Source organism: Homo sapiens, chromosome 4 (assembly GCF_000001405.40).
Source record: "Homo sapiens chromosome 4, GRCh38.p14 Primary Assembly".
Lineage (NCBI taxonomy): Eukaryota > Metazoa > Chordata > Mammalia > Primates > Hominidae > Homo > Homo sapiens.
This window is the reverse complement of record NC_000004.12, coordinates 53368461-53395915: the sequence shown is the minus strand read 5'-3', so window position 1 is coordinate 53395915 and position 27455 is coordinate 53368461. Positions and strand designations below refer to the sequence as shown.

General features: G+C 37.6%; 1 protein-coding gene and 1 long non-coding RNA gene across 63 annotated transcripts in view, besides 6 other annotated features; one reads left to right on the top strand and one right to left on the bottom strand.

The window, feature by feature from the left end:
- The window catches only part of FIP1L1 (factor interacting with PAPOLA and CPSF1), an 83222-nt gene extending 64947 nt beyond the window's left edge, over nucleotides 1–18275 (bottom strand). For 17 of the 60 annotated variants that reach the window (NR_164849.1, NM_001376748.1, NM_001376749.1 and 14 more), the window contains exons 1-8: nucleotides 17993–18275; nucleotides 16799–16843; nucleotides 16652–16691; nucleotides 13581–13638; nucleotides 12040–12143; nucleotides 6043–6107; nucleotides 5288–5395; nucleotides 4777–4907 (exon numbers count right to left, since the gene is read on the bottom strand). Coding sequence is in view for 57 of the 60 variants with exons in the window: in NM_001376748.1 (NP_001363677.1) it covers nucleotides 4777–4907; nucleotides 5288–5395; nucleotides 6043–6107; nucleotides 12040–12143; nucleotides 13581–13638; nucleotides 16652–16691; nucleotides 16799–16843; nucleotides 17993–18077 (636 nt within the window). In the remaining 3 variants the exon portion in view is untranslated. Of the gene's footprint in view, nucleotides 1–4417; nucleotides 4487–4776; nucleotides 4908–5287; nucleotides 5396–6042; nucleotides 6108–12039; nucleotides 12144–13580; nucleotides 13639–16651; nucleotides 16692–16798; nucleotides 16844–17992 lie in introns of all 60 variants that reach the window. The other 43 variants (NR_164847.1, NM_001376758.1, NM_001376760.1 and 40 more) reach the window with 7 other exon arrangements.
- Nucleotides 17460–18008: an enhancer, noted in NCBI's record as "H3K27ac hESC enhancer chr4:54244075-54244623 (GRCh37/hg19 assembly coordinates)". NCBI's record gives its function as "activates a minimal SCP1, AML or CMV promoter by ChIP-STARR-seq in naive and primed H9 embryonic stem cells {active_cell/tissue: H9 hESC(naive and primed)}" and the evidence as "EXISTENCE:reporter gene assay evidence [ECO:0000049][PMID:30033119]".
- Nucleotides 17460–18067: a biological region, named in NCBI's record as "H3K27ac hESC enhancer GRCh37_chr4:54244075-54244623".
- Nucleotides 17698–17787: a silencer, noted in NCBI's record as "silent region_15430". NCBI's record gives its function as "represses an Ori minimal core promoter by ATAC-STARR-seq in GM12878 lymphoblastoid cells {active_cell/tissue: GM12878}" and the evidence as "EXISTENCE:reporter gene assay evidence [ECO:0000049][PMID:35858748]".
- Nucleotides 17948–18067: an enhancer, noted in NCBI's record as "active region_21564". NCBI's record gives its function as "activates an Ori minimal core promoter by ATAC-STARR-seq in GM12878 lymphoblastoid cells {active_cell/tissue: GM12878}" and the evidence as "EXISTENCE:reporter gene assay evidence [ECO:0000049][PMID:35858748]".
- Nucleotides 18009–18557: an enhancer, noted in NCBI's record as "H3K27ac hESC enhancer chr4:54243526-54244074 (GRCh37/hg19 assembly coordinates)". NCBI's record gives its function as "activates a minimal SCP1, AML or CMV promoter by ChIP-STARR-seq in primed H9 embryonic stem cells {active_cell/tissue: H9 hESC(primed)}" and the evidence as "EXISTENCE:reporter gene assay evidence [ECO:0000049][PMID:30033119]".
- On the top strand, nucleotides 18040–21747 carry LOC105377654 (uncharacterized). Of its 3 annotated transcripts, XR_007058118.1 has the most exons (3): nucleotides 18176–18257; nucleotides 20186–20319; nucleotides 21319–21747. It is a non-coding gene; the product is annotated as an uncharacterized LOC105377654 (long non-coding RNA). The 3 variants fall into 3 exon arrangements; XR_007058117.1 differs by lacking the exon at nucleotides 21319–21747 and having other exon boundaries at nucleotides 18040–18257; nucleotides 20186–20610; XR_941050.2 differs by lacking the exons at nucleotides 18176–18257; nucleotides 21319–21747 and adding an exon at nucleotides 18270–18357 and having other exon boundaries at nucleotides 20186–20610.
- Nucleotides 18118–18207: an enhancer, noted in NCBI's record as "active region_21563". NCBI's record gives its function as "activates an Ori minimal core promoter by ATAC-STARR-seq in GM12878 lymphoblastoid cells {active_cell/tissue: GM12878}" and the evidence as "EXISTENCE:reporter gene assay evidence [ECO:0000049][PMID:35858748]".

Here is a 27455-nt window from a genome sequence, read left to right as displayed (position 1 = left end):
AAAATACAGTTATGCCAATTAAGGCCTACTCAGGGTGATATCTATATCCACAAGATGAGTGCTCATTATTCTAATAGGATTTGTTGAGGTGCTTTTCAACCCTGTGATGCTGAGATATATAAATAAGAAATCAGAAAAATTAACGTAGATATACACATACACACACACACGCACACACACAAAATTCCATCACTTTATTACTATGTCTCATCCTAAAACAGTACCTGGCATGCAATAAGTACTCAATAAGTATTTGTTACTTGACTGTCTTTGGGAATCAACTTAAATGTCACTTCTTCAAACTCCAAAGAACATGTAGTTTATAACTATATCATCTTTAGCATGATTATTTAATTAATACCTAAATTTTCCCATTAAGCACAATAAATGCCTAGACTATAGGCTCCATGTCTATTATGGTGACCTCCCCTTCCCCCCAAAGCCTAAGGTACTTCCTGGCACAGTCAATGCTCAATTAAAAACCGGGAAGGAGGAACCGGGAAGGATTGGGGAAAGAGACGTGGGAGAGACATTAAAAGAGAAAGAGAGAGGTGGGGTCAGAGAAGATATTAGGAAAATGGCATAGATTTTTAAACACACAAAAATTGCCCGTGTTTCCCAGCTTTTCTTTTTTCCTTAATTTCTTCATAATATCCTCATTCTATTAAACAATTCTGAAAATCCTCACTATTCTAGCAACCTTTCTAGTCAACTTGATTATCCATTTGTTTGTCTTCAGATGTTACACTCAAGATTACACACTCAAAATTTGTCTAACCAGTAACATAATGAGATTATTTCACATGACCTAATATCTTAAGAAATGACCATAAGACATTATGACTAATTTTCTAAAAACAAATTTATGTCAGATCTGACAAATCCAAACAAAACTTAAGTCTACAACCTTGAGAAGCTAAATACTCACCCAAATTATGCTACCACTGTACTAAAAGTTTGAAAAATATTTTTGAAATTTCCTTTGGCTGCCTATCACAGCTTCATTTGTAAAAGTTTAACTTTACAAACAATATCTTAAAAAAAAACCCTTGTTAAGTAAACTAAGGTGCATCCAAATAATAAACTATGTAGCTATTTTAAATTATATTTATAAAAAAATTTAAGAACTTATGAAAACATTACATGTTAAAGTCAAAAAAAGGAAAAACAGACAACCATAAATAAATTATCACAATTTTGTTTCAACCTATAAGAAAAAAACTGAGAAAGCAACAAAATTTAGAACTTTGAAATTAGATTAAAAAATAGTAACTGACTGAGCAGACCAAAGAAAACTGAATCCTAAGTCAGCGATGAGAAAGCAAAGACAATGATTATCATGTCAGGACCCTCAAAAATTCAGAAATTAAAAGCTCCAGCTACCAGAACATTTGCATCAGCCAAGTATATACCCTCTAGATAGAATACTGGAATACCTTATCTGAAAAAATCTGATTACCACAAAAAGAAAAACACCTAAAAATACTGACATCAGGGAATGTGAAAAAACAGCCCTCCAGTGAAGCCTGCAGTCAAGCAAGTTCTATTCAGATGTACAGAGCTTCCAATCAATTTTAGCAGCCCACCGTTACATGAGTGAATGGCCAACAATCAACAAACATTTCAGAAAAGTCTAAGTCAGAAGATAAAAATAACTAACTTAAATAATCAAGTTGAAAACAGACTATGCAGGAAAAGAAAAATCTAACAGAAACAAAACAGCCTATCATTAATATCCTTTGAGAGAGGAGGGAAAAAGATATTGCATTACTGTAGGCATGAATAATAAGATGCTACAACTAAATAATAAAGAAAAATTTTCTTGGAAATTAACAACAGAAATGAAAACTAAGTACAATAACATTATAAGAATAAAAAATTCTCCCAGATAATGGAAAAGATGAAAAAGAGAAAAACAATAAAAAAAATTAGAAGACCATTCGAAGATATCCAATATTATCTAGAATAGAAAAGAAAGCAGAGAAAAAAGTAAAAGAAGAAAGTGTTCCATAAGTGAAGGATATGTGCTTCCAAATCGAGAATGCTTGGTACAATGGATGAAAACAGACCAAGACACATAACTGTAAAATTTCAGAAAACTGGTGACAAAGCTCATACATTCACAGCCGGGGGCGGGGGGGGGGGGGGGGGCCGGGGGGAAAATCTATGCATATGTGCACAAATGAATAAAAAATATTTTAAGAAAACGTTGTAGTCAACGTTTTCTCATACATACATGTTATCTATTCCCACTAGTCACTTCTCTCTTGCCATTCACTCTAATTAAATAATTACACAATTGTTTTTGTACCCAATTGAGTGGCTTTATTTTTATACCTATTAAATTTCTTTTATTTTGCTTTTTAAAAAAACTTTATTCATATTGAAGTACATAAAAGGCTGTTACCTCAAGAATGTCAAAACACTGTTAAGTGTTGAAGCTGTATGATAAGCACCTAAGGGTTCATGTGTACTATTCTACTTGTTACTGGGTTTGCAAATTGTTTAATGAAAAGTAAATAAAGTTATCTTAAAGAGGCTGATGGGCTGTCTCACACTTAAGGATGAAAAAATTCTATTTGCAGCAGATATGAAAATAAATTTTAATTCTTAAATCCACTCCTTTGCCCATTCATCCTCATAAGTGAGTTCAGGCCCTAGTTCATTTTAGTCCCATAGTATGGCAACAGCTCCCTATCTGTTTCACACCCCTTTCATTCTACAGCCCATCCTGCTGCCAGTTCCTTTTCTAAATACCAGATCTGCCACTTCATTCTACTGCTCAGGAACTTTCAAACAGCTTCCTATTGGCTACACAAATGTTTGCAGGTTAGTTTAAAATCAATGTCCTGCTCATCATGGCCCTATTTCCACCATTTCCTACGGACCACAATATACATAAAGAAAAAATGTTTGCCACACATATTCTTAATACACACCCTATTCCCAAATCAGTATTTCTACCAAACATATTAGTATTTAAACACACTATCAAGGCAAGAAAACCATGAAGACTGTACCCATCGAATTAAAATCTTTCATTCAGAATCCAATCAGAATGGAATACTCTATGACCTCCTCTCACATAGCCAAAAGAAACTTCAAAATAAATTTTTCAGTACACAGTATGTATATAAAATACACATTCATAACGGCTACCTTCAATGAGACTGACCCCTAGGAGTTTCTTTTTATTCTCTTTTTAAGTCTACTACAAAAAATGAAGTATACAGAAGCTAACAGTTTATGATGGCAGTTCTCATTTCTATTAAAAGAAAATAAAATGCACTGCTGCTAATGAACTAGTTCATTAAGACAACTTTTCTACCCATTGCAGTCAAGTTTAATATATTCAATGCCTATATAGACAATATAACCCAGAAAAAACTGATGACCCTTTAAAACACAACAGACATCATCACATACTTTCAAAATATTTGCAAAAGAAGAACCAAATACTTACGCAAAGTAGGATGTAAATTAAAATAAAATTATCTATATAGAACTGTGTACAGTAGAGTGGTTGTATCTGCAGACATAGCACACACACTGCATAAGGCAGTATTCTGGTGGACAGGGCTGCAAACCCAAAAGGGGAGCAGTGGTCTCTTTCCAGTCCACTAAAGTTCCCTGAGTATACAACCCAATCTAAAAGCCACTCCCAATCTTCATCCCAGTGTCATTCAATATAAGAGTCAACTATTAAGGTAAAGAAAAAAGAGTACACAATCAGTTTTCCATAAAAGAACTATGACAATATAGTATTATTCTTTGGACTGGGTCTGTGATCATACCATGGAATGGAGAAGCCAGAAATCAGACTTGTTATACAAGTTGTAGTATCAACCTCAAAGTCTCTCACATAAACCTACTCCTTTTAAGAACAAATTTTTAAAATCAATGGCAGTATCTCATTATGTTGAGTTCTTAAAGCCTCTCAGAGAATGCCTAAGATTTTTGAAGATATCTTGAGCTATCAGGGCATTACACCAATGATATCAGTGTTATAAGTGTCATAGAGATAAACAGTATGCCACCTTCCTTACCATTTTTTTAAAGAGAACAAAAAAGTTTCCAATTCTGTTGATAAAGATTAGAGTATTATCTACAATGAGAGCATAATCTGTTGCCACTAACTTTTCTATCCTACAAACATGTATTACGACTCAAAATGAAATCACAACATATAGCAAACAATAGTTTTACTCGGCATTTGTTAGTATAATAGGCTATAAATTCACATGCTTGCAAAAGTGGAGATAAAACAACAATCAGCAAATTTGTAAGTCACCAGGAAGCTGAAGGTTTGGAAAAAAGGTAGCTATTTCCACTTTAATCTTGTCCCTTGAGTAGTGGCATGGGAGCAGACTCAAGAACAAAAAATGAGAGCAACCAAGGATAATTTACTAAAATTCACCTTAAAAAGATTGAATCTGCCATCTTGGATCTCTGCACCTGGTGTAACTTCCATAGTACAGTCTTCGGCCTAAGTTAAATAACATATTCCCCATTAAGATACCACATAATATTTAATTAATAGGCCATATAAAGACAAACTAGCTGTGGCTAGTCTGTGATTTGAAAGTAAGAACATCAGATAATCATTAAATACGAAACTCTAAAAGGGAGGGAAGGGAAAAACAAACATGGTAAACAAAATGGAATTTTTAAACTATCATATAGCATTTAACCACTTTTATAGGGAAGCGATTTATTTGGGGAGTAAAAGTGGGACGGTAGACAAGCCAAGGGTATTCCGGAGTATTTATTAATTACCGTAATTTTATTTGTAGTAGAGGTTACTGGTATAACTTCAAGTCCCATTCGTATCCTCTTTTGTTTTTCACAGTAAGCTTTCCAGGTATCTTCATTAAACCCATAATTAAAATAATCAGAAAGATCAGCACCTAAAGATAAAACACAACTTTAGTGTACAAATATTTCAGCTCTATTTTTATGCAGCATCAAAAATATACTAAACTATAAAAATATAAATTTAGAGTTCTATCAGTTATCACTCTATCATTTATGGTGGCAAAAAGACTATATCATTTTTGATCAAATTATTCCCTTTACAAACGCCATTATAATAAACAATAAGTCTACATTTTAAGTAATACAAGGCCACCAGTAAGATTTAATAATCCCAAGTCATTATTACTCATCATTTGCTTAAGACAATTAAAATTATAATGAAAAAATAAAATTCTAAATTGATGTTCAAAAAAATTTTCTGATGACTTCACACTGAAAATATTGAAATTAATATAATCCACAATAATCTTACCAGGTTTACGCCATGGTTTATCTTCAAAAGAATCCAAATCTACCTCTAAGAGTGGAACTCCATTAATGCTTCCAGGTGCATCAAGGTCTACTCCTTTGACTTTTGTCCCTGTTTTATAAAATTACAAAATGAAGGAGCTATACTTGCAAGAAGCCAGGCGATACCATAGACAAACAGAAAATATAAACACCTTTTTACTATTCCTGGCACATATACACACACAAACAGAAAACAAACATCTTTTTACTATTCCTGGCAAAAAACCTGGCAAGGGTTCCAAACAAAGCAGAGCCTAAAATACGTGCTACTGGACTCTTGCCAGAAAAACTTTACCAGTCTCTGTGATGTACGGTCAAAAATTACTCTTTAAAAAGAGCTATTATCACCTTGGCCGGGCGCAGTGGCTCACACATGGAATCCCAACACTCTGGGAGGCCAAGGCAGGTAGATCACTTAAGCTCGAAAGTTCAAGAGCAGCCTGAACAACATGGTGAGACCTGGTCTCTACATAAAAATACAAAAATTGGCCAAGCATGGTGGTGCACGCCCGCAGTCCCAGCTACTTGAGAAGGTGAAGTGGGAGGATGGTTTGAGCCCAGGAGACGGAGGTTGCAGTGAACTAAGATTGCGCCACTGTACTCCAGCCTGAGTGACAGAGCCAGACTCTGTCCCCGACTAAAAAAAAAAGCTATTAAGACCTATTTAAGATATGTGCCTTATTTCCCTATTGATGCAACAGAAAATACAAATTTTACCTGTAGTTCCATAAACTCTTCCCCCTGTCTTGATGTTAAGATTTACAGGTGCTGTACCATAACTCCTAAAAACAAACAAACAAAAAAAAACAGAAATTATCCTGAAAAGCTTAAACAAAACAGTAATATATTCCATTTGTACAAACAAATTATACAATCACATAGTAAATGGATAGTGTGACACACATTTTATTTCTATCTTTATTTTTTAAATTTTGTATAGATGAGATCTCATACCATGTTGTCCAGGCTGGTCTCGAACTCCAGAGCTCAAGCAATCCTCCCACCTTGGCTTCCCAAAATGCTGAGATTACAAGAGTGAGCCACCGTGCCCAGCTAACACATATTTTAAAAAACATTTTAAACTGATTTTTAAAGTCACTTGCTCAATAAAAGGCAAAAACAGTAAAAAAAAAAAGCCTGACTTGTTTCCATTTCAAAAACCTTTTTGCCAATAACTCAACATTCTACTGTAACAAACTTCACAAGAAATAAGGCTAAGAAGGGAAAAATAGTTTACACCCCTTGTCTTCATTTCCTTGCCTCCCAGTTATTAAATATACAGCACTCTTAAGCATAAGTAAAATTCCTCCAACTTGTTGTCAAATCTAGTGGCCTTTCAGTTCTTCTTGCATTTGATATTGTTAATAAATCCTTTTTCAACTATTCATGGAGTACTCAGTCCATAACAGAAATTTATTGACAAGAAATTCAAAAATAAGTCTAGCATGAAAGCAGAACAGTGTTTGCCGGTGGTGGGTGGTTAATGACCAAGAGGCAAAATGAGAGAAACTTCTAGGATGCCAATTATGTTTCATATCTTGATCTGGCTGTAGTTACATGAATGTATATATTTGAAAAAATATTAAGCTGCACCTTTTTAGATGTAATATAATACACAGTGATAAAGAAAAAAATATCTGAAGTTGGACCAACCCACATTCAAATGTTTTGTCAATTGCTAGTTGTGTAATCTTGGCCAAAACACCTAAGACTTGTATACAATTATTTGAATAATTCATTGCATTTTTACTTGTATAAATGAGCCTTGTATACATTTTCTGTAATACGGGGTTACAGACAGTTCTTTACTTCTTTATATAATGGATTCTTATATATGAGTAGTATTATCAAATATACTAATTAAAAGAGACTTTTCTGTTACTAGGGAAGTTAGAAGAAAACGGGAATGGGCAAAGAAGGACCAACTCCCACTGAACAAAAACATATCAGTAAGACGGCCGGGCACGGCGGCTCACGCCTGTAATCCCAGCACTTTGGGAGGCCGAGGCGGGTGGATCACGAGGTCAGGAGATCAAGACCATCCTGGCTAACACCATGAAACCCCGTCTCCACTAAAAAATAGAAAAAACTAGCCAGGCATGGGGGTGGGCGCCTGTAATCCCAGCTACTCAGGAGGCTGAGGCATGAGAATGGCGTGAACCCAGGAGGCGGAGCTTGCAGTGAGATCGCGCCACTGCACTCCAGCCTGGGCAAAAGAGCGAGACTCTATCTCAAAAAAAAAAAAAGATATCAGTAAGACCTCAAGTCACAGATGTTTATAATGATATATTTCTCACATTATATTCATGTTATATATTTGGTTCTTTTCTCTCAGAACTTCAGCCATCTGGACTTCAGATTCACTGCTTTGGGTCTAATAATAATTACTTCCATCTTTTGTCTCTGATGTACTACATTTAAGACTTAGGTTTAGTTACATTTGCACTGTCACTTTTCTTTTCTACTTAAAAAAGAAAAATGTAAATTCAATAAAATGTTTAATTGTATCAAATAACTGTAGCTCCACAGCTAGAAATGCAAAAATTACAAAGTGGACCAAATATTACTACTGTCAAGCAGTACTATCGTCACCAACTTGAAATAATCATTTCATAGGCTGATTAATTCATGTAATGCTTACTGAGCACCAAACCATGTCAAGTATGGTTCTAGGCTGAGGAAAAAGTATGAGGAGCTGGACAATTACGGTTCCTGCCTTCACGATGTTTACATTTTAACAATCCAAATTCAGAAAAAGTGACTTAGCGGTATCTACATATGATGTACATGATTTTTCTACAAATGTACAAAAATCAAGGATTTTCTCTAAACTGTTCTCTTACAGGACCGTATAGAATAAAACAGTATTTTTATAAAAGGCTTAGCCACAAGTGTTCAATAAATGAGCTTCTTCGCTTTCCACCTAGCTACTTTCTATTCCCCATTCTGCCTTTTAAAACATCATTTTTCTTTTTTAAGCCACAAGCCTTTGTAGAGAAGCCTGTGTAGAGAAGCTTAGTGGTATGAAAAATTGCAGAGGCAAATTTGATATAATGTCCAATAGATCCCTATGAAGTCTCAGACCACTCTAAATGCTAGATCCTATACTTGGACTTTCTATAGGAACTCCAAAATAAACATGTCAAATGAATCTGTTTTGTGGGAGGTGGGAGCAGTAGCACCCACCTGTACCCAATTAACTGCTCTAGAAATCTTTAAGTCACTGAGCCCTTTATCTCCTCCTCCATCCACAACCAACCAGTTACCCATGTTATTTGTTTCTATTTATTCTTTGAGACAGGATCTTACTATATTGCCCAGGCTGGCCTGAAACTCCAAGGCTCAAGCAATCCTCCTACCTCAGCCTCCCAAGTCCATGGGACTACAGGTGTATACCACATGCCTGACTATATTTCTGTTTCTCTAATACTCAAATGTACTATTTTCCCATTCATCTCTCTACTACTGCTGCCTTAGTCTAGATTATCATCTCACCTGGACAACTACTTCACATCTATTAGTCAATGTCTCTCTATCTAACCCATCTCAACTACTGATGCTAGAGTTATCTTTTCAAATGATATGACCTGTCTAAAAACCTAATTAGGGGTGTCTAAGGGAGAGAATACAGTCATGAGTCCTTAGTTTCTGTTTCTGGTTAGGCCAGTAAAGCCCCTTTATCACCCCTCTTTTCCACTTATCACTGGAGACAGAAACTAAAAACCATGGCTTTGGGCAGCTAAAAGACTAAAACAAAGCAAAACAGAACAACAACAGCAACAAAATAAGGTGCATTGGACAAGCTTGCAAGGTCTACAAAGACATAGCAAAAGCATCCTAACTCCTTCCATAAGTGATTTCAACCATCTCTTTTCATCTACCTTATCCTCCAGCCATGTACTTCCTCCAAGGCACGCATCTAATATATTTATTGTTAGGCAGTGTCCTCCACCTAAAAACCACTGTCTCCCATCTCAAAAATTATTCAAACAAGTTCAAATGTTACCTCTGGGATCTTCTCTTCAACACCTGTAGGCTTTTAGCAACTCTCCTCTCAAACCTTTCGAATCACTTTGTACATGTTTCTATTCTAGCACTTATGTTGCACTGAAAATATTTACTCACATGTCTGGCATCCTCACTACCTCTGGAAAATAATAACTTCCTGTATTCTCATCAATTAATACATTCACAGATAAAAAATTGCTGCTTTCATGTAACTTTATCTAATTTGTTAACTCCATGAAATTTCATGGTGATTTTACCAAGGGTTCTTTTGTAGCATGGTAAATGTAAAAACAATAATAATAATGGAATGATCACAGATGGTTTGATAAAGGCACATTATCTTTGCTACTTAACACAGTGCCAGATAAATTATGTCTTTAAAAATTATTTATTGAGTACATAAATGGATCAATCTCACAGAGATAGGTAACAAACTACTTTCCAAGATAAATTATTTCTACTTTAAGAGTTGCTTTTCTTCATACCTTACTTACATATAAAATGAACTTGTAACAAAGGTATGTTACGCAAAAAAAAAAAAAAAATGCTATTTTGTATTTCCTAACAATTTACAATAAATCAATTCAGTCCTTGGACACAGTTTGTTCTTTAAATTTGCTTCTGAAAACGCTGTGCATAAGTAAATGTTTATCAAATTTCATTTTCTCACTGACTTTGTTTTCAAGGGATATACCTTGAAATATAGAGGTTAAACAACTTTACACTCTTCACAAATGCCTGTACTTTACTTTCGAAATGCATAAAATGAATAAAAAATAAATCAACTGATAAATGGGTAAACGCATAGAGGGATATGAGTTCAAGCAAACAAAGCAAAATGTAGATTGTATAATCTAGGTGATGGGTAAATGAGCATTCACATGTCAATTCCTTCAACTTTTGTGAGCATTTGAAAATTTTCATAATCAAATGTCTAAGGGGAAAAACCCTCAGAGACAACTGTAACTAAATAACATTCAGTTTATTTAGTCAATAACCATTTACTGCACACTTAACTGTATTTAAGGCAATGTGAGGAATAGAAAACTCCATAAATCACAGTTTCTTGTTTTTTTGAAGAGTTTTGAATTCAATGGTTTCTACTCTATAGAAATCTGAAGTGTGTAAAGGTAATAAATATGTATAAACATAATTACAATGCATAAAACTGAAAATTGCTATAAGAAATAAAGTTTAGTAAGGTACTATGGAAGTCCACGTATATTTAATATTTGAGTGCAATTTCTACCAAAAAAAGGTCCCATCCATAATCCAAAAAAATTGTCATTTGCTTCAAGTTGTTCTATAACTTGCAAATACAAATAATTTTACATAACATTTAATGAACATGCAATTATTACAATTTTATGTGTTCCTTTTGCATCATGCAGATAGTAAAGGCCTACTAGTACTACAGTATAAGCCCAACTTTCTCATTAAGTAATTATTTACTTTCCCAAATGAGAATGAGGAGCACATTTAGAATATCCACCCCTAACATGAAAAATCAGCCTCTTTACTCTGTTCCCTAAAAAGGTGCTAGGATTTTAAAATTACATGGGTAGTCATTATTATAATACAAAACTGACTATGACAATAACTGAATTGGCTTTAAGCTTCCTGAAATGACTTCTGAAAACAAATGACTCTACTAATAAAATATTTAACAATATTTTTGTATATACTGGTTGATTCCAGATGAGGTTGCTTAATGAACTATAGTGAAATTAATGTATTTTATGTTTCCAATGCATAAGCTATAATAACCACATTATACAGCCAATTTGAAAAACAAAACACATTGACTCTTATTCTCCTATCGTAACTAAATCACAATTCGTACTTCAATGTATTTCCCTTCCAATCTTTCTGTAAGATTCTTTATGCGCTCAATGAGTCAATGACAGTCCATTTACTTGGTCCAGTTTATAGAATACAAAATTGGAGACAAACATTGGCCTAAAAGGCCTAAGGGAGAATTAGAAACCTGAAAACACTATTAAGAACAAAAAGAAATACTTTTGATATTGTTTTTATTAGGCAAAAAAATTAAAAACCTAAACTCAGGTCTGGATAATAAAGTGAAATAATAATAAGTACAGATACAAATTACAATTTAAGGATTTCTAATTCTAATCAAAGAATTTATAGTACTTTTTTTTTTTCTTTTTCTCGAGACAGAGTCTCACTCTGTTACCCAGGCTGGAGTACAGTGGCTCGATCTGGGTTCACCGCAACCTCCACCTCCCAGGTTCAAGTGATTCTCCTGCCTTAGTCTCTGGAGTAGCTGGGATTACAGGTGCCCACCACCATGCCTGGCTAATTATTGTATTTTTAGTAGAGATAAGGTTTCACCATGCTGGTCAGGCTGGTCTTGAACTCCTGACCTCAGGTGATTCACCCGCCTCGGCCTCCCAAAGTCCTGGGATTACAGGCATGAACCTCTATGCCTGGCCTAGCACTCAATTCTTTTATAAAAACACTTTAAATTCAGCATCAAAAACTGCTGCTTCTATGTACCTTCGCCTAATCAATTAACTGTATTTTAGCAAAGAAGTATATTCATGATGAAACTTTAACAAGTTCTTTTATGTTAAAATAGAAAAATGTAAAAACAATGGACTCAACCACTGAGAGTTTGATATAGGCACACTCTCCTTACTATATAGCATTTACACAATTGTTACTTACTAAAAAATAACTTACCCATACTGTGGTGCTCCCGTTTTAATGTCTCCTATAGTGACATGAACATCATCTTCATCATCATCGCTGTCACTATCACTATCATCTTCGGTCTCAGTCACTTTCTACATGAACATAAACAAATTATAAAATACATTCAGTAATCCATTTCAACATCTAATACTAATAACTAAAAAAAGTAACCACCCTGTTTTTTTTTTTCTTTCTTCTGTCTTGAGACAGACTCTCACTTTGTCGCCCCGGCTTGAGTGCAGTGGCATGATCTCAGCTCACTGCAACCTCCACCTCCCAGGTTCAAGCAATTCTCCGGCCTCAGCCTCTAGAGTAGCTAGGATTACAGGTGCCCGCCACCATGCCCAACTAATTTTTGTATTTTTAGCAGAGACAGGGTTTCACCATGTTGGCCAGGCTGGCCTCGAACTCCTGACCTCAGGTGATCCACCCACCTTGGCCTCCCAAAGTGCTGGAATTACAGGCGTGAGCCACCATGCCCGGCCCCACTCTGTATTTTTTTGAGATACAATTTAAAAGTTACAAGCTTATAATGCTGCCACCTATTTCAACTCATAATTTTGATGTTCTACAGGATAAAAAGGATAAGACTATGAATAAAGAAATGAAATCTTTTTGGCATCATCTCCTTGTGGTAAACAACACCTCATTTTTTTTTTAACTATCATATCTGCCCCTCTTGCAAAAAGATCTAAAGCAACTTACTAAGATACCTACAAGATAAAATTATAAAAAATAAGTATTTGAGAAGTCTTGGCAAAAAAGAATCTAAGAGGAAAACAATTTTAAGATTCACAGTGTCACAAATACAATGTACCAAATCAATTAAAGAATTAAAAAAAAAAACCCCAAAGCATAAGAAGTACCAAATAGTTAAGTAGAAGCTCAGTTATTCTTGGTATTCTTGTATACCTAGAAGAGGCCCTACATGCAAATTCTATATTTGTGAAGATTTTACTTTGGCTCTTAAAGGCTATTTTGTGCTTAATCACATCATAGTAAATAAGTAGATCACATAGGCAAAATACTTTTTTGTATACAACTTCAAACTTCCGGAACAATAACTTCCTTCCTTTTATAGGATTAAAATGCACAAATATTCATAGGACCAATGATATGTTCACCTCACAAAGTATCAATGGCATGCAGGCATGCAGTCAGGGACTGTCACATACATTAAAAAGCAACGTTAAAAAATCGTAACAGTGAAAGGTTGTGGGCTCAAAACTTGCTCTGAAAACCAGGCTCACTATATTCAGTAGATTTATAACCATTCAATTCCTTGAAAGCAATAAACATCAAGCCTTTGCACATACTATTTTCCTCTGCAGTCTTTCTACTATTTCTTTTCCTCATTTTAATTCCTATATATGTTTTTGATGGCACCAGATGAAGTAGGAGATGTAAGAAAGGGCCAGATAACACCTGATACTGAAGGTAATGTAAAATGCCAGCTTGCTTTCTATGTAAACTGTGAAGCTATTGATAAAGATTTGTATCAGTAACTGGATTTCAAAGCCTTATGTTACCGGTTTTGGTACACCATTTTCAGCAGTTTCATCTTCAATTCCAGATGGAGGATTAGCACTACAAACAACAAAAGTAAGTATACATGTCAGGCATTACTTTTCGGAAGTACAGATAGATTATATTAGTATTTCTAAGCTTTAATAAAGCTCCTAAAATTATTGTCTCCACTGGAGACAGTAATGGTAAAATCTGACTGTCTTATTCCGTTATTTCTAGTAACTTGCAGAAGACAAGTACTCAACATTGTAAGTAGAATGCAAATGCCAGGCTGGGCGTGGAGGCTCATGCCTGTAATCCCAGCACTTTGAGAGGCTGAGGTGGGTGGATCACGAGGTCAGGAATTCAAGACCAGCCTGGCCAAGATGGTAAAACCCCGTCTCTACTAAAAATACAAAAAAAAAAAAATTAGCCAGGCATGGTGGCGGGCACCTGTAATCCCAGCTACTCGGAAGGCTGAAGCAGACAATTGCTTGAACCCAGGAGATAGAGGTTGCAGTGAGGCTGCAGTGATCATGCCACTGCACTCTAGCCTGGGCGACAGCGTGAGATGCTGTCTCAAAAAAAAAAAAAAAAAAAAAAAAGAATGCAAATGCCTTCACAGTTTATTAATGATTTATAATTTGATGGTGGGCTATAATTCAAGCTTTTTACACATTTTAAAAATATATGACAAACTTAATCAATTTTAATTATCCTAAATCAATTTGATCTTTACAGTGGCATTTTATAGCACAATCACCAAATAAAGCAAAATGAAAGATAAAAAGTCAAAACATAACTGTTATATTTTCATTGTTCTACTGCTTGCTTCAAGAAAACAAATATGCAGCTATAATTGTTCAGTACATTTACCTCCTGCTGAAATAAGCTTCTAGGTAGCCAGAAGCAAGTCCCATTTGCTTTCTACGTCACAAAACAGTATCCCTTCTTTAGTCAAAACTTGGATAGATATAACACAATTGGAGACTGCAATGCAATGTTTAAGAAAAACAGAGGCTTCAGCAATGAGCCAGTCAGTAGGAAACGGGCAAATTCTAATAGCAGGAACTTTGGTAGAGCAATGCAATGATGTACCAAGCCAGATAGCAGTAGGTCTGGCAGAGTACCTTTCTTCAATAGGCCTACTCTTTTGGAAGTTTTAATTTTCTATCACCATTAAAATGTTAGAAACATGATAAAATTTTAAGCTTTTTCTAGAAAAATAACACTGTAAAGGAAATTGTTTTTTCCCCCATAGGATGAAATCAACTCAACGGCTCCCCAAATGAAGTTGCAGAAAGGAATATAAAGCTATGTTGACAGTGACACTCAGGGAAGGTAGAAGGTTCCCTCCAATAAATTTTAGCAAGTTGTGTATTGCGGAATTAAAATTAAAGAATGTTTGATTAGAAAGTAAGCTTTTAAAATTGTAACCAATAAAAATAAAAATTAATGGGATAAAGATTATCATATAGAAAAGTATATTTGATTGTAAAACTATACCTGTAATTAATTTCTTGACCAACTGAAGGAATGGGTACAAAGAAATATTCAATCACTTTCATAACATAAACTAAAACTAATCTCAACTTTGTGGTTGAGATCAGAATTAGGAACTGAGTTGAATATATAAATTTTAAAATGAAATAACATTTCAGATAATATACCAATGAGTGAAAAGACTATAGGGGATTTTTTGGGTAAGGAAGCTGAACTGTAGTTTCAGCTCCTCCTAAGCTATTTCTACTTCCATTTCTCACTTTTTCCCTCTATCCATTTTTTGTTGTAACAGCTTTGAGATGCAATTCACATATTATACAATCTACCCATTCAAACAGGACAACTGAGTTTTAATATGGTCACATAGTCCAACCATCACAACTATCTAATTCCAGAATGTATGCATCACTCCCAAAAGGAACTTTGTATACATTAGCAATCACTCACCCAACTCTTAGTAACCACTAATCTGTCTCTACGGACTGACATCTTTAGCTTCCACATTTGTAAGGTTCATCCGTGTTGTAACATCTACCAGTACTTCATTTTATTGTCCTTGCCAAATAATATTCCGCTGTATGGATATAACACATTTAATCTATCCATTCATCAGTTGATGCAGCTGCGAGGTTTTCTTTTTCCACTTTCTATTAAGAATAATGCTGCTATGAATATTCACGTACAAGTTTTTGTCTGAATATGTTTTCATTCCTCTAAGGTGGAGGACTCACATGGTAACTCCATGTTTCACCATTTGAGAAAATGGCCAGGCTGTTCTTCAAAGCAGCTGCACCATTTTACAATCCCACCAGAAGTGTATGAGGGTTTTATTTCCCCATATCCTCACTAACACCTGTTTTATCTTTTCGATTGCAGCTTACTCGGTATGAAGTTGTATATCTTCCACTTTTTAAACCCAAATATTCCTTAAAATCTTCTAACTACCTCTCCCTCCATTACAGACACTAATGCATGTGGTCAGGGTAAAGCCGACATCTCCATGTACTTCTTTACATGGCTTGCTTTTTGAAATCTGGGGTAAAATTCTGACTCCCTGTATATGTTCTATAAATGAACACTTACATCTTTCTTACAATCTAACAAAGAAATCAACCTTATAACAAATCAGCTAATTACATTTTGAATGCAAACAATACATAGCATTGAAATTACAACCAAACTGCCATTATATCATCAAAAATGTTAATAAACTGGAAAAGCAGTAGTTTGGAGTGTTCCTGATTTACTTAAAAACATTTTCAATTAAGTTAAAATATTTTTATCAGTAGCTTAACGATTATACTGTATACTTCACTACTGAATTCACTTAAGAGTAACAAGTTACTTAACAGTGTAAAATCAGTCCAATCCTAAGTTCAAAAACTTTGTCCTTTAAACTACCAACAAATAGAATTGGCGTAAGATTAGGTCCTGAAACTGGAATAATCCTTAAAGGATTCAATGTCCTCCAAAATGTTGTAAGTCAGTGTTGTAATGAAGCCAATGATTGTAAGAAAATAATTTTGACAACTGACAGAACCATTGTTTCACACAACCTGTGTAATAGGCATCAACAGAAAATTTCACTAACCTGGCATTTTCTTCTTCTGGCCTTTCAACTTCATTTTCATCTACCAAGTAAAATAAACAAATAAATAAATAAGCAAACAAAATAAAGAAACCACTCTTAAAGAAACTAGTATTATGAAAATCTGAAGTGATCATCACAAGCACTAACCTAGGTCCTTTGCCAAATCACTGTGCACATGCACGTCCCATGGGCCTATAAGCACATCCAAAGTTAGATCACCTTATAATTACTTAACAAGATACTTATTTTATGGAAAAAAAAATCAGACTTTACTGCTATAAAAATAAGCTTAAATTTAAGAGGTAATGAAGATTTCCAGATCTTTGTAAAAGAAATCCTACACATTCACATTTCAAAGAGTAGTAACTAATGCTAAATCTTGCCACCAAACGATTTTTTTTTACAAGTTTATCAAAGTCACATCATCAAGGACCTGCATGGTGCCCAAAGTGCACTTTTACTATTCTATTCTAAAGACAATCAAGAATATATGTTTTAGGCAAGGAACAAACATTAACTTTCAAATCTGGTGTTAACAAGCAAGAAGGGATTGTGACTTAAAGTTAAAAACCAGATGTCAAACAAGTACCCTTCTAGAGAGAAGTACATGATGCATTAAATTTATTTTGAGAAAAACAAATACATGAGATGACACTGAAAACTATAAGCCGAAGGGTCATGAGATACCTCCATGATGTAGGTTAAACGGTAGTCTCTTAAAAAAGAATAACTTCACCTTAATACAGGAGACATTCAGAGTTTTCTTTATGGGCCATCTTTCTCTCTCTCTCTCTTAATTAATTATTTTTAAAGCACGACTTTCAGACAAGGAGGTACCCTTGCAGGTGCATTCCATACAAACTGACCATCAAGAAACAAGACGTTAGTTGTACAGCATTAACTTTATTTAGCTATTATTACAGAATGACTGTTTCTGAAAGAAGGGACAGGAAGGGCACCCTAAGGCCACAGGGCAAAAACAGACACCAAAAACCACCACCTCAGAATCGACAGAAAAAAACAAGGGTAAAGAGCGCAGCAGCTAGGCGATCGAGACGCCTCGGGGAAAGCACAGCGAAGCCGGGGGCCAGGACCGGTCACAGCCCCCCAGCCCGGCCCGGCCGCCACAGGGGTGGATGCGCATGGTGGGCGTGGGCCAGGCGGGAGACCGCCGCGGGGACTGGGGGCACGCGCACGCCGCGCTCGGCCTAAGTCAGGCCGGACAGGACTCCCAACCAGAGGCCCGAAGCGGCGGCGCGAGAGGCCAGGGACGCCGGCCGTTTGAGGGCCAAGAGGGGAGGCCTGAGAGAACCCGAGAGACAGAGACAGGAAGTTTCGTACCGCCATAGAGCCACTCTTCCTCCTCATCCCCTCCGGTCCCGCCGCTCAGCTCCGACACTAGGCGCTCGACCTCGCCGGCCGACATGGCCGCCCCGAGCGCAACTTAAACGCGGCGATCAACAGCCCCCTCCAACCCCTTCCCCAGCCTCGCAGCCCCGAGGCGCGAGAAGGGCGCGAACCCGCCGACGAACGAACGAAGAAAGCTCGAGACTCCAATCCCAGGAAGGCGACGGCAGCGGCGGCAAAGATGAAGCCTCCAGCGCAGGTCCGTCTGCGCATGCGCAGGAGACCCAAGCGGCGCGGCGCGTATAGGTGGCTTCGCTTCCGCGGCGGCCACCTGGGCCTGGTTGCGCCTGCGCGCTGAGGTGGGCCCCGCCCCTCTAGGATCCCGGTTTGCTATTTTGCGTGGCTTCCTCCCGTGGCGTCCTGAGTCGGCCAGGGTTCCCCGCCCCCACCCTTCTTTTTAATAACCCGTATTGCCATTGCTGGCGAGTACACCATTGTTCCCTTCTACTCTTCGTGCTCTTTCTTCTCAACTTTTTATTTGTTTTTTAATCTTCAGAAAGGCCTTCTTTTATTCTTTAATCAGCCTTGATACAGAATCATTACCTGTCACTCCCTTTCCTCACTGAATAGAGAAGAAATCACAATCAGTACTATTTCTCAAAAAATTAATTTTCACAGCCAACAAAAGCAAAACTAATAGATGAAGAATGCACTCTCCTTGTTAAAAACCATAAATTACTGTCAAGGTCAAAGACCGCCTCATTCCCCTACCCTTCTCTCCGGAGGTAGCCCTTGCTACAGATGCATATCCTGTTTGGAGTTCATCATTCCGAAATTTCCTATACACTTACTTCATGTGTTGTGCTGTTTTGGTGGGAGAACCTGAGATTGACAAGTCTTAAATAGTACAGTACAGTATAGTATCATCCTTCGACTTCCTTTTTTTTCTTTTTTTTTAGCATCCGTGTCTTGGAGCTCTTTTTCATTTTAGTATGAATCAAACTATATCTATTTTAAGTGCTTCATAAAATTGCATAGTATGGCTATCACAGAGTGAATATGGCTATTTCTCCATTGATGTACACCCAGATTGCTTTTGACTTTACACTTTTAACTACAACAAAAAATGACAATGAAGATCCACACGGCTCCTTGCAGATTTGTCTGTTTCTCAAAGATAGATCATAAAGTATGTACAGTTTTTATTTTAATAGGTAAACCAAATGTTCAGGCCGCTTCTGAAAGCACATCTTCCAGTGAAAAGATGACATACCATGGTTCAAACTGGAGCTCTAGGTTTGTCTAGGTTTTTTGTTTGTTTGTTTATTTATTTGAGGCGGAGTCTCACTCTGTTGCCCAGCTGGAGTACAGTGGTGCGATCTCTGCTCACTGCAACCTCCACCTCCTGGGCTCAAGCGATTCTTCTGCCTCAGCCTCCCAAGTAGCTGGGATTACAGGCACGCACCACCATGCCCAGCCAATTTTTGTATTTATAGTAGAGAGGGGGTTTCACCATTTTGGCCAGGCTGGTTTTGAACTCCTGACCTCAGGTGATCTGCCCACCTTGGTGTCCCAAAGTGCTGGGCTTACAGGCATGAGCCACCACGCCCGGCCTGTTTTTTTGTTTTGTTTTGTTTTGTTTTGTTTTGTTTTGTTTTGTTTAAAAAACAGTCTTACTCTGTAACCCAGGCTGAAATGCAGTGGCAGGGTCACTGTTCACTGCAGTCTCTACCTCCCAGACTCAAACAGTCCTCCCACTTCAGCCTCCTGAGTACCTGGGACTACAGACAAGCAGGTGCCACCACACCTGGCTAATTTTTTATTTTTTGTAGAGACAATGTCTCACCATGTTGCCTAGGCTGGTCTGGAACTCGTGGTCTCTAGCAATCCTTCCACCTAGGCCTCCTAAAGTGCTGGGATTACATGTATGAGCCACCAGGCCTGGCCTCAGTTCTTCATTATACCTAGCAGGTTGTATAGTCAGGCAATCAACCTTTCTATGCTTCAGTTTTCTCATCTATAAAATGGAAAGGCCAAGTTAGATGATCTCTGAGGTCTCTTTCATTTATAAAGTTTACAAACAGGGCATTCGCTTGTCAACAGAGAGAAATCCATTTTGATTGAACAACTAAATGAGTTTTCTTGCTCCTTGATGAATAAATATTGTTTTATCATTTATTTATTTAGCAATTACAGAATATCTGCTCTGTTTAAGAACTTGGAAAATGAAGACATGAGTGAAACAGTCCCACCCCTTAAAGAACTCTGAAGTTATTGAGAAAGACAGAGGGGCAGTAAACAACTCTCCTACAAGAGAAGAGGTGAATGTGTTGTAATAGAAGCACAAATGAAGGGTTTACGCCCAACCAATATCTCACATTATTTAAACAAACCATGTGGTTTTAATCTTTCTTACCTTTGAACACACTTCTGCCAGCTATTCCCAGCTCCCTTATCTTTTTATGATAATCTCTTGCATCCTTCTAAACTCTCTGGGGGTATAATCACCTTTGTGAAATCTTTCCTGAATCCCATTTTATCTCTTCCCATTTGTTTTGCCAGGAACTCTTCCAGCTATGTAGATTCAACAGTGAATAAAACAAAGTTCTTTCTTTTGTGGAGCTTTGATTCTAATAAGAGAGTCAGATAATAAACATATGAACGTATGATATGTCATGATGACAAGAATTGTGAAAAGAGTAAGCAATATAAAATGAAGTGATGGGGTGCAATTTTATATGGAGTGGTCAGGGAAAGCTACTCTGATGAAGTGATACAAGAGACTTGAATGGAGACAGGAGGTGAGCCCCGTGGATTTCGGGGTGACAGACTATCAAACAGAGGAATAAGAAGTGCAAAGGCCCTGAGGTAGAAGCATACTTGGCATGTTCAAGAAACTCAAAATGTAGCTAAAGTATAGTGAGTGAGAGAGAATGCAGATGAGGTCAGATGTATTTGGGGGGTGAGTGGGACAGAGCAACTCACTCCTTCTAGACACCATGCTGCTTCTATGCCATGTGCCTATCACACTGTATAGTAATTATTTGACTATATTTCTGTTTGCCTCAGGCTCTTCGCTAGACCAAGTCCACCTCCAAACAGGGCATCCCATAGCCATCACTTCAATTCCTAGTATAGTGCTTAACGCTGAGTAAATCTTCTTGGTCACTGTTGAAAGTAATAGAATGAAGTCTTATAGACTGTTTATGAGTATCGTAAGGCAATCACTCACAGTCCTGTCTATTGATCGTTCTATTTATTTAATTGGTTTCATGAGAAAACCAATTGCCTTTTGTTAAGGGATCTTTTTCTGTTTTCAGCTGCCTTTCAAGGCATTGCTTAAACATAACTGAAGAAATGATGAACAATACTAGAATAGCTTTTGTGGTGGAGGTAGCATTTGAGCTAAGCTTTGAAAATGAAGATTTCCACAAGCAAAGAAGCACATAAATCACTAATAACTACTCTGAAAAGACCTCTTCCTCCTTGCTTCTAAGCTGAGTTTCTTGCCTGAATATGCTTTCTTAGTTAAAGGTATCTTTCTCTCCCTGCTCACCAGGGGAGACATCAAAGGTAGGTAGTTTGAAGATATTATATATTCCTCCTTCCATTTCTTATATTATGACCTTATCAAACTACAGTGCTCCATATATTCTATTTGTTTTCCATTTTATTGTTGTTTTGTGGTCTGTTGGTTTCTGGCAAAAAAAATTAAAAGATAAGTTTTAATATACTTATCTCTGAGAAGTACTGAGAGTGTTTAGTAGATGATGATGAGTTAAATGATGACAAGAATTGGAGATCAAATAAAAATGCCTTGCTCACTATCCAGTATATATAGCAAGTACACATAAATGTGTTTGGCATGCATATGATGTTTATGCCCAACTGTGCTCTTTGCTGTCACATAAATTTCAATGTTCTTAAATTCTCAATGTTCTTAAGTTTCCTCAGCAGTAAATTGATACATTAAAATGACATTTGTACCAATATTGGGGAAGAATAACAAAGCTAAATTGAGGTTTCAAATGTCAAAGCATCTAGCCAGGCACGGTGGCTCACGCCTGTAATCCCAGCACTTTGGGAGGCCGAGGCAGGCGGATCACCTGAGGTCAGGAGTTCAAGACCAGCCTGCTCAACATAGTGAAACATTGTTTCTACTAAAAACACAAAAATTAGCTGGGCATTGTGGCACGCACCTGTGATTCCAACTACTCAGGAGGCTGAGGCAGAAGAATCGCTTGAACCCAGGAGGAGGAGGTTGCAGTGAGCCAAGATCCCATCATTGCACTCCAGCCTGGGCGACAGAGCAAGACTCCGTCTCAAAAAAAAAAAAAAGTCAAAGCATTTGACAAGTTATTGACAAGCAGGTAACATGTTGTTTAGGACTTTTCTTCTTTGAACAAGCAAAGTAATTGTACGTGTGTAGAGCTTTCCTTCCTCTTTATGTACTTCCATGATAAATTAAACCCCAATTAGCCATCTTCCTCTACATCCTGACATCTTTTAACAATAAACTTTACCTAGTCCTAAGTTTAGCTCATCAAAAAAGAAAAAATAAATTTTCTATTGCTAGTTGTTTCTGGAAAATTGTATTATTTCCTATTCATGTCTGTGCTGTCAGTAAACTTCGCATACTCTTTTTAAAGGTGAGAACAAAATCGTTTTATTTCTGTATTTGCCAGGTCCTCTCTTACAACATCAAGTACATGGAAAGTTCTTAAGCTAAGAACTGATCATGCCTATGGATGACCTAGAAATGAGGTGAAGAGAGATATGTTGGATTTTGGACAGAAGAGAAACAATAGCTGACTATTTTGAGCAGAGAAATACAAATCACATTTTAATAAAATAAACATGACGGTCTTAAGCAGGTCATTTTAATAGGAATTCATTTTACTCCACCATAACATCTGAAAGCAAGAAATGACTTTTGCCTGGGCTCTCCTACCTTTTCTGTCCACCCTGTCTCCCAAGTCATTTCCTCCAGCTTCATGACTTTTATTTATGTACATATGTATGTATGTATTTACTTATTTATTGAGACGGAGACTCACTCTGTCACCCAGGCTGGAGTGCAGTGGCATGATCTTGGCTCACTACAACCTCCCCCTGTCAGGTTCAAACAATTCTCCTGCCTCAGCCTCCCCAGTAGCTGGGATTACAGGTTCATGTCACCATGCCCAGCCAATTTTTGTATCTTTAGTAGAGATGAGGTTTCACCATGTTGACCAGGCTGGTCTCGAATTCCTGACCTCAAGTGTTCTGCCCACCTCAGCCTCCCAAAGTGCTGAGATTACAGGTCTGAGCCCCACGCCTGGCCTCCATGACTTTTAATGTCATGTCATTGAGAGCCACTGACACCCATATTTCTCTGGGCAGTCTTAACTTCTCTTTGAGCTCAAGATACTCGGTCTGACTCAAATGCTTCACCTGATGCCTCTCTTAGGCCTTTAAAACTTATGTTCAAAACACAACTTATAAATTTCTCTCCCATATCTGTCTTGTCCCACTCCCATACTCCCAAAGACTTCTTCATATTAATATCAGTAACCACCATTTAACTAGTTGTTTTAGCCATAAATCAAAGAATTATCCTTGACTTTTCTGTCTTCCCCATCTGCTCTTCTCACAACTATGCAAATCAGTTAGCAAGATCTGTTAGTGCTTCTCATTAAAACGTATCTCAAATCTATCTACTTCTTTCCATCTGCACTGCCACACTGAAATTCTAGGAACACAAAACCCTTCCGTGGCCTTCTCTTAAATATGAAATAAAATCTAAACTTCCTACCATATGGCCTACAAGCTTCTTCACGGTCTGACAGTCCCTCAAGTTGCATGTGGCTATACAGGCTCTGCATTGCACAACTTTTAGGGGTGTCTGTATCACCTCATTCTTAGTCATCATTTGTCAAATCTTTTAATGTTTTCCCTCATATCACTGCTATAGTCTAAATTTTTGTGTTTCTCCAAAGTTCATATGCCTAAACCTTAATCCTCAATGTGATGGTGTTTGGATATGGGGATTTTGTGAGGTAATTAAGTCCTCCCTAATGGAGAGGGGTTTGGACTTTCATAAGAAAAGACAGGAGAGCTTGCTTCCTCTCTGCCTGCTTTTCACCAACTGAGAATACAGCACAAAGGTGGCCAGCCATTGGTGAGCCAGAGAGAGGGCTGCCATTAGAAATGAATTATGTGAGCACCTTGATTTTGTACTTTCCAGTCTCCAGAACAGTGAGAAATAAACTTTCTTTGCTTATGTCACCCAGTCTATGGTATTTTTGTTGTGACAGCCCAAACTAAGACAGTCTCTGTGCTTATTCCCTCCAAGTTCTTCCAGACCTGATCCCCAACTCTGCATTTAGCTCTCAGTCCCTACCTTTGTTCCATTTTATGTGCATGCCCAACAGTTTCAGTATTTTAGCAGAAGGATGTCTCTACTTGTTCACTAAACCAAAATCTAACTTCCCTCCAAGGACAGGACTTCTCCTTATCTTTCTATACTGAATATCTGCCATTATCCTTCACCCTGTTGTACTGTGAATGCTTGAGATAGTGCTGTCATTCCCCCGGTTCTTGTGGACCACTACCAGGCCATTACGGTTCCCATTTTGCTGTGAAAAAACCTTCCTCTTTTCCAGCTCATACCATTTGTATTTACCACCTCTTCTCCTTTTTCATTTTCCTTCAACTACAAGTGATATCTGCGGTTGAAGTCCACAGTCTTCCTTTCCTCCATCATGATGTGTGACTTGCATATGTTGCTTGACTCATGTTTTCTGACCTTCTGGAGTCTAATGGTCTTCATTCACTCTACTTCCTTAGGGCACATTCAGGGTTATACCCTGGATCTTATTATATCCTAGAATTTTTCCCTCCTTGGCTGGGCGCAGTGGCTCACACCTGTAATCCCAGTGCTTTGGGAAGCCAAGGTCAGAATATGGTTTGAGCCCAGGAGTTCAAGCCAGCTTGGGCAACACAGCAAGACCCTGTCTCTGTAAAAAAAAAAATGAAAGAAAAAAATTAGCTGGCCGGGCACAACGGCTCACGCCTGTAATCCCAGCACTTTGGGGGGCCGAGGTGGGCTGATCACGAGGTCAGGAGATCGAGACCATCCTGGCTAACGCAGTGAAATCCTGTCTCTACTAAAAATACAAAAAATTAGCCAGGCGTGGTGGCAGGTGCCTGTAGTCCCAGCTACTCAGGAGGCTGAGGAAGGAGAATGGTGTGAACCCTGGAGGCGGAGCTTGCAGTGAGCAGTGAAATTGTGCCACTGCATTCCAGCCTGGGGGACAGAGCAAGATTCCATCTCAAAAAAAAAAAAAAATTAGCCATGTGTAGTTGTGTGCACCTGTAGTCCTAGCTACTCAAGAGGCTGCGGCCGGAGGATTGCTTGAAGTCAGGAGTTTGAGTCTGCTGTGAGCTATGATTGTGCCACTGCACTCCAACCTGTGAGACAGAGTGAGACTCTGTCTCTGAAAAAAAAAAAAAAAAAAAAAAAAAAAGCGTTCCCTCCCTGAATCGTAGAGGCCAAGTTACTTTCTTTGACCCTAACTTCATATTCTTCCAACTTTTTTACCTCCTCATTCCCCTACCACCTTCTTTTCTAGGAACTGTGTAGATAATTTCTAGAAGCTGCATTTTCCCCAATCCATTGACTCATTCTGCACTGCACCCCCAGCACTCCCTTGTCATGACTGTACTTTCTTCCTGCACAGGTCAAATCCTGTAGATTCTTCTCATATTCCCTCTCTTTTCCCTTTTCTGACACTTGCCACTGTTGGCCACTCTAGTCTTAAAACTTGCACCTCTCATTACTCCATTCACTGGCTTGACTTCTTCTGCCCATCAAGAAAAGTTGCTCAGAGTTCTCTCCATCACCATCATTGTCTTCTTTCTTTTTTGTGTTCTCTTAAGGCACTCTGAAGCACACCCATTTACTAATAATCCCAATTACCATATTTCTCTTCTGTATTCTGGAATCACACATCCAACAGCATGCTAGATGTTTCTGCCTCGATGTCCCACAAGCATATTGAAAACCTCATGTCCCCACACCTATTAGGATGGCCATTATCAAAAAACCCAGGAAATATCAAGTGTTGGCAAGGATGTGGAGAAATCCGAACCCCTGTGCATTATTAGTAGGAATATAAAATGTTGCAGCCTCTGTAAAAAACAAAACAAAAACAGAGGTCCATCAAGAAGTTAAAAATAGAATTATCATATGATCCAGCAATTCCACTCTGGGTCCATGTACAAAAGAACTGAAAGTAGGATTTGTAGGGAAAGAAAACCATACACCTTTAGGGAATTATTTGAAATCTGTATGTGTCACTTCCAACTATCTTATTCACCCGTGCCTCATCATTTGTCCATAGCTAGCTGCAAGAGGCTTGGAAAAGTAGTCTTTAGCTGTGTGTCTATGAGTTCAGAATAAACCTATTACTACAGAAGAAGAGACAAATAAATATTGAGGCGACCACTAGCACTTACTGGCACAATATTCAACCATGACTTCATGAGTGCCTTGCCCTTTCAGAGAAGATGAAGTATTAATTCACTCAAACTTACCTAATGAATGTATGATTCAGCATGAGATGCAAGGGGTAGAAACAAAAAGTGAGCTTGAGATCAAGATTAATGCAGGTGTTAGTAACTAGGCACTGACCTGGGTTTAAATGGAAGAGCAAGGGCTGTCATCCAACAACTTATTCAACTTAAGCTCCTTAAAATAATTTTCATGCTGACAAGGATACAAACATGTAGGAATATCTTCTTGTTTACTAGTTCAACATTTGAACTTGGGTCTGTCATTGGCCCTTTTACCTACTAGGTTCTACCAGGTTTATGACTCTTCTGCTGCATATTCAAGGTGCCATTATTCACAATAGCTAAAAGGTGGAAGCAGACCAAATGTCCATAGGCAGATGAATGGATAAACAAAATGGTGTAACATACAATGGAATGTTATTCAGCCTCAAAAAGAAAGAAAATTCTGATGCACGTTACAATATAGATTAACTTGGAGGACTTTATGCTAAGTGAAATAAGTCAATCACAACAAAACAAATACTGTATTGTTCCACTTATATGAGGTATCTAGAGTAGTCAACTACTACATTGCCAACAACTAGAGTAGTCAACTCATAGAAACAGAAAGTAGAGTGGAAGTCACCAAGGACTGTGGAGAGGGGGAATGGGGAGTTGTTGTTTAATGGGTACAGGGTTTCAGTTTTGTGAGACAAGAAGTTCAGAGATTGGTTATACAACAATGTGAATGTACTTAATGCCACCAAAATGTACATTTTACAATGGTTAAGATGGTGTGACTTTTATGTTACACTTATCTTGCCATAAGGAAACAAACAAACAAAAATATGTCCCCACTAAACTCTGTATTTATTCCGCAATCTGCTTCTCTTAATGGTTTTTCAAATCTCAATGACTGGCA